General features: G+C 63.8%; 1 protein-coding gene across 3 annotated transcripts, besides 1 other annotated feature; it reads right to left on the bottom strand.

Moving 5' to 3' along the window:
* Positions 1-2,305: 2,305 nt before the first annotated feature.
* On the bottom strand, positions 2,306-6,400 carry CPTP (ceramide-1-phosphate transfer protein). Of its 3 annotated transcripts, none has more exons than XM_011542200.3 (3): positions 5,239-6,400; positions 4,170-4,366; positions 2,306-3,961 (listed from the first exon to the last, which is right to left on the bottom strand). In XM_011542200.3, the coding sequence occupies exons 2-3, from the start codon at positions 4,289-4,291 to the stop codon at positions 3,439-3,441; spliced, it is 645 nt and encodes a 214-aa protein (XP_011540502.1). In that variant the 5' UTR covers positions 4,292-4,366; positions 5,239-6,400; the 3' UTR covers positions 2,306-3,438. The 3 variants fall into 3 exon arrangements, with proteins under 3 accessions (XP_011540502.1, XP_005244858.1, NP_001025056.1); XM_005244801.5 differs by having other exon boundaries at positions 5,607-6,400; NM_001029885.2 differs by having other exon boundaries at positions 6,100-6,400.
* Positions 5,944-6,443: a silencer, noted in NCBI's record as "silent region_60". NCBI's record gives its function as "represses an Ori minimal core promoter by ATAC-STARR-seq in GM12878 lymphoblastoid cells {active_cell/tissue: GM12878}" and the evidence as "EXISTENCE:reporter gene assay evidence [ECO:0000049][PMID:35858748]".

The raw sequence follows: 6,453 nt of genomic DNA, 5'->3' as shown, positions 1-6,453 counted from the left end.
GTGTCCTCGCTTCCTGGGCCTGAAAGTTTGTGCGCGTCAGACTCTGCCTGAGGCCACTGCCAGGCTCTATGGCCAGCGTTGACCGGCAGGCAGGCTCTGCTCAGTTGCTGGCCGTGGCCTTGTTCCCTGCCTGTGGCTGAGCCCCTTGCCACCCCCCGATTCCTGGAGTTGCCCAGCAGGCTGTGGAGAGGAGAGGGGGCAAAGGGGCCTCCAGGGCTCTGAGGTCTCAGCTGCGTGGGAGGGATGCAGAGACACCCAGCCCTGGGGCTTTTCATAAGCACAGAAATGCCTCCTACCCAGCCCCGGGAGCTTCTGGCTCCCACTCAAGGCTGTGCTGGCCGGAGCCGGGGGCAGCAGGGATGGGCCCCCTAGGCCTGCAGACCAGTCAGGCCAGTGGGCAGCCGGCCAGCCAGGCCTCCACCCTGCAGCTGGGGAGGGCCCTGGGGTGGTGGTGCTGCCCTCCCAGTCTGCTTGGGAGCAGAGTTCCTTGAGGGTCTCAGCCCTTCTGCCAGAGTCTGACGCCTGGAAGCTGTAGGAACCGCATGGCCAGCTGTACTCACACTGCTGACCCCCGTCTGGGCCACTCCTGCGTGGCAGGCACACAGGTGGCTCCTGCTGGGGGTAGAGTTTGTTTGCCAGGGGGGCACGCAAACAAGGGAGGAAGGGCCACAGGCAAATGAGCGGCAGCTGGAGCAGCACCAGGTGTGCAGGGCCGGGACTCCTCTGCCTCTGTGTTGCTTTGGGGGTGCCCTCGGGGACACAGCAGACTCCAGGCGCAGGCCCTCCCAGGGGAACTGGGGGGCACTCAGCTTCAGCTAGGGCCTGGCAGACCTAGCAGATACCAGGAGGTGTGCCCTGGCTGGTGCTTCTTCCCCATGGTGTTGTGAGGAGGACCTGTGAGGGACACACACTACCACCGCACATGCATATGGCACATGCTGAGCACACGTGAATATGGCGCACATGCGAACCTGGCACACGAGCACAGGAATGCGGCACACACACAAACGGCACATGCGCATGGTACACGCGAATGGCACATGCACGGCACACGTGCATGGGACACGCACGGCACACGCAAGGAACACATGCATGGCATGCAAACGGCACACATGCATGCCACACGTGCACAGCATACATGCAAATGGCACACGTGTACGGTGCACACGAATGGCACATGCGCATGGTACACACAAATGGCACACGCACGGCAAGTGCATGGCACACGCGCATGGCACACACAAAACGGCACATGCAAATGGCACACACACGGCACACACAATACACACGGAAACGGCACATACACAAATGCCACACATGCATGGCACGCAAGCAAACGACGTGTGGCACACGCGCATCGCACGCAAATGGCACGTGCATGACACAAATGGCACATGCAAACAGCACACACATGGTACACGCAAAGCACATGGCACGCACATGCGCACAGCATACGCTCACAGCACACACGGCATACACAAATGGCACACATGCACGTGGCACACGTGCACGGCCAACACGCAGCACATACGTGCATGGCACATACACGAAAACAGCACACGCTCACGGCCAACACGCATGGCACATGCAACTGGCACCTGCACATTGCACAGATGGCACACATGCACATGGTACATGCAAACAGCACATGCAAACGGCACACGTGCGGCACACGCAAATAGCACACTCGCACTTGGGACACGCAAACGGCACAAGCATGGCACTTGTACAGAAGGCAACACCCGGAGGGAGCCCTGCCCTGGGGCCCACGCAGACCCAGGCAGTTCTCCCGGCCCATACTGCAGTCGGCAGCCTTTGCCGGCACCATATGCAGCTCCCACAGACCCTGAGGTGGGGGTGACATCCAGGAAGACTCTGCTGAATTGCATCCCCTTTCTGTCCAGGCCACTGTTGTGGCTGGGAGTGGCCCCCACCTCCACGCACACATCCCACGCAGGCCTCTCCTCTTTTGCATGGAGAGGCGGATGTCTGCCCTCCCAACCGTCCTCCCAACCCAGCCTCTTGGTTCTGGGTGACTCTGTCTCTCTCTTGTCTCACCTGTACAACAGGCATAGTGATGGGACCTCTCTGGGAGAATGGGCACACAGCAGCCCTGCCTCCAAGGCTGGCCTTTTCTCAGGGTGTTTGTTGAGCCCTGGGGCTAACACAGCCCCCTGAGCCTGGCAGTGGGGCCTCAGCTCCCTTGGAGTTAGGTGCACCCACCTCAGCTGTGTCCCTGGGGTGAGGGCCCTCCCCACCCTCACTGGGTGCCCCTGTGTCCCCCTGCAGGAAATCAGGCACCCAGTGCACCCCAGCGTCTCCCTCCTGGGAGGCTGTGTGATTTATTAACGTTGGAAGACATCACATAGATTGCACTCTGGAAGCTCGCATGTCTGCTGGGCCGTGGGGGCCGTCCCTCTGCCACCCCGAGGTGCTGGGGTCCACTGTGAAGAGCCAGTGGCCAGGCCCCAGGCACTGGATGGTGGCTGGGCTGGTTGTGGCTGTCTGGTAGCCTTTGGCTGGGCCACAGGGTCCAGACCCTCCTGTTCCGTGCCCCACGGGTCTCCTGAGCACTGTGGGGAGGGGGCATCAAGGGGCACGGGGGAGAAGGGACACAGCATTTCACTGGGTGTAGCAGAGTCCCAGCTCCTGGGGGCCTTGGGCTGGGCTGGGCTGTGCAGACCCACGGCCGCTGCGGGAGGCGGCCTGCTGCGTCCCTCGGGGAACTGGTGCCGTGCAGGGGCTACGGAGGAGGCTGTCCCAAGGGCGGGGACTTCCTGGGCCCTTCTGTGAGGAGCCTTGGTCTCAGCTTCCGGCTGTCCTGCCCCCAGTCTGCCTGGCACGCTGAGGGGCAAACAAGGCAGGAGAGGCGGGGAGAGCCCCACAGTGCCCAGACTGCTGTTGAGGGTTTCTGCCAGCCAGGGCATGGAGGGCACTGAGTCCCCTGGGCTCAAGGCTGCCCACCTGGGCAGACACGGGGTCCCAGGCACGGGCCTGAGATGAGGACACATCGGCTGGCAGAAAGGAGAAAGGATGGAGCCTCCACACCCCGGGACCTGTGACTTCACCCTGGTTCGCAGATGCACCCCACAGGCTAGGGGGTGGCGACCTTTCGGGCTCTTGCAGGCCCGGCCCCCACCCCTGCCTGCTCTGCTCTGCACCGCACCCTGGCGAGGCCTGGCTGCGCACGCGTGTAATAGGCCGAGGGGGAGCCGTGGCCGAGGCGTCTTGTTCCGGACCGAGAGGGTGGGCCTCTTCTGGGCTGGTCGCCACCTTCTCTGTCACAGTCTGTGGTTCCTAACCAGCTCAGCTCACAGGGGCGACAGAGGATCTCCTGTTCCCGCAGCGCCCAGAAGGCTCTGCCACGGGACTCACGGCCCTGGCCACCGCAGCCCAGATCTGCAGCAGGAAAGCCGGTGCGGCCCTGGCTTCCCGCCCCTAGGGCAGGTCCAGCAGGGAGTGCTCGGCGTAGAGCTTCTGGGAGACGTTGTAGACACGCTGGATGAAGGGGAGGGCCTCGCCTAGCATCTGCACGGCCTGCTCCGGGGGCCCCACGTTCATGGCCTCCAGGAAGACCTCGCGTGTGGGCAGCGTGCAGAAGGCCACGGTGACGGCGCGGCGCACGACCCAGGGGTGGTAGGCGGCCAGCGAGGCGTTGTAGGAGTCGGCGCAGAGCGCGGAGGTGCGTGCGTCCTCGGGGCTGGTACGCAGGCCCTCCAGGAACAGCTGCAGCCAGTGCAGGGCGCGGTGCAGGCGCAGCACCGTCCGGCAGCCAGACTCCGGGTGGTGGGAGCGGCGCTCCAGGTCCACCAGCCGGTTGCTCAGCTCGTGGGCCACCATGGCCTGCAGGCTGCGGTAGTGCTCGCTCTGCGGGCCGCCCCTGAGGCGCTCCATGATCCGCAGCTTGGAGACCACGTCCTTGGAGATGAATGAGAAGATGGTGCCCAGGCTGTTCAGAAACCTGTGGAAGGGAGCGGGGCTCGAGTCCTCGCCCAGGCCTGGGGCAGCCCGCCTGGGGTGCAGGGGACGCTGCCCAGCCTGCGGGGGCTCACACCCATCTGGAAACGGGCAGCAAAGCTGGTGGGGACAGGCAGTCGGGAGGCAGATGCCACATATGGGACTCGGGCCAGGGGAGCGCCCACCTCAGGAGGCAGCCCTGGCACACGCACCTGACCAGGCCCTTCCAGCTGGCAATGTAGGGGTCCAGCAAGACCTCTTCCTTCTCATCGAGACACTGCTTGAAACTGACCAGGACGACTTTCAGATTGAAACCTGTCTCCGAGTCATCCATTTTTTGATAGGAACGGAAATACAGTAGGGCTGGGGGGCTGTGTCGCTGGGGTCAGCTTGCTCTGTGGCTCATTTTCTGTGTGTGGAGGGGAACAAAATAGCTGCGATCCCATTGCCGCTCACTGAACACTCATGCCCCTCATGGAGCTTCCTCCCAGGAGCTGCCTGGCTCTGCTCCCAGCCAAGCCGCAGGCTCTCAGGCACACCACCCTGACCCACCCTTCATCAGGATTGCGCATTCAGGGACCTTGGCACAGCCCCTCCTGTGGATCAGGCCACTGACTCCGTGTCAGTCCCTGACCCCGAGAGTGGCCCCCTCTGGCTTTATCAGACCACTAGGCCCCGCTGTCTGCAGCAGGTGTCTCTGCTGGTGCTTTCTTGTTTTTGTTTCTCTCTCTAGATGCTGTATCTGCTTTTACCAGCTGGAGAAATACTAAGCCCCTGCCGAGAGCCAAGCACCATCCTAGCCATCTATCTGGGTGCATGGGGAGTGCGAGCAGCCATCTGGGGTGGGGTCAGATGACAACAAAGACAGGAAGTTCTGAAGTCCTAGACAAGAAAACAGACACAGCAGAAAGCAGAGACAGGTGGGGCCGGGGGTGGGGGGATGCTGCCGGGCAGGCTGCCCCATCTTCCTCACTGCTACATCCCCAAAAGCAGAAAAGAGGCTGTAGGGCTGGCACTTGCTGGATGGATGGACACGTGTTTTCACTCCTGTTGCTGAAACTCCATGTCCCACACAGATGGGTTTTACCACTCAGAAGATTGCCACGAGGCTCTTGTACTAGCCCTAGGGAGCCTTCCACGAGTGGCCCAGGCCCTGCTTTGGATTCTGCTGGCATTCACATAGTCACTCCACAGATCCACAGACATCCAGGCACCCATGCTTTGTGTGAGTGTTGCCAAGCACCCTTGCCCTGTCTCCCCGGGTGCCCCACGGGCCCGCACCTGCTCTGGGGAACCTGAGAGTCAGCTGCATTCCACCTCGACCAGGAAGAGGGCCTGGGGGTTCCTAGGCCGGTTGGTGCTGGGAGCCCTGTCCTGGCCTCCCTGGCTGCAGGGACTCCATCGGTGGGGGAGGGGGAAGGGCACCCAGCCGTGGTGAGAGCTCCTGGCCAGGAGCAGGTGGGCAGGTTGCTCAGCACCCTAGGACTGGGCCCTTCATCACTAGGGATCATGGGCTGCAAGCCCTGCCCAGCCCGTGGCCCAGGCTGCTGGAGCACTGGTGCCTGCAGGGTGCTGAAGCCTGGCGTTGCAGGCCCCACAGGTTGGGTTGCATGCTTGGCACCAGGCGGAGGCCCCAGATGTGAGCTCACCGGGCTTCAGGTGTGGGGGATGGCTGCTCCTGGGCCTCAGAAAGATGCAGTCCCATAGACTTCCAGCACGCCCCTCCCCTCCTCGGGCCTTAATTTTGTCCACTGAGAAGATGGTCTCTGAGGCTCTGGGGTTTCCTTCTTGGTCACCAGATATTCTGCGGGCCTTGCCTTCCTGCCCAGATTCGAGCCAGTGGCAAACAGAAGCTGCCAGGAGCTTCTCAGAGCTGTGGCTGGTGGCTCGGTAACAACAGGAAGGGCAGTGGCTGTGCAGGAGGCAGGCAGCTTGCCAGCCCAGGAAGGTGACCCAGGACACCTCCAGGCCTTTCCCAGGGCAGCCCAACGGCCCAAGGTCAGGGCCGGGCGCGAGGGCGGCCTGAGCACAGAGCACGGGGGCTGACAGCAGGCTGGGGGGCCAGCAGGAGACGGGGCCCCACGGCGCCCCAGGCCTTGTGGGTGGGACCAGACCCTGTCGAGCGAGCGCTACGAGTCTCACCTGGGAAGGGGGCTTCAGATGGCACCGGACTGGATGGGCACCGGTTCGGGTCCCTGCTCCACCGAGAGGCCCAGGAAGGGGCGGAGGCCCGGGGTGGTGTTGGGGAGGGGCCGACCTGAGCCACGGCTCCGTCCTGCGCGGGAGCCGGGTCCTCGGCCGCCCGCCCGCTCCGGCCCTCTAGGACGACGTCCCCTCCCGCTCCCGGCCCCTCGGCGACTTCCGGACCGTGCGGGTTGGGTTGGGCAGGTGCGGCCGCCGAGTCCGAGCCGCTCACCTAGGCCGTAGCCGCCGTGCGGGCCCCGTCCCCGCCCACCGCCCCGCCCTCGCCCCGCCCTCGCCCGCCGCCCTGATTGG

Source organism: Homo sapiens, chromosome 1 (assembly GCF_000001405.40).
Source record: "Homo sapiens chromosome 1, GRCh38.p14 Primary Assembly".
Taxonomy (NCBI): domain Eukaryota; kingdom Metazoa; phylum Chordata; class Mammalia; order Primates; family Hominidae; genus Homo; species Homo sapiens.
The sequence above is the reverse complement of the archived record's forward strand: the minus strand, read 5'-3'. Positions and strand labels throughout refer to the sequence as shown.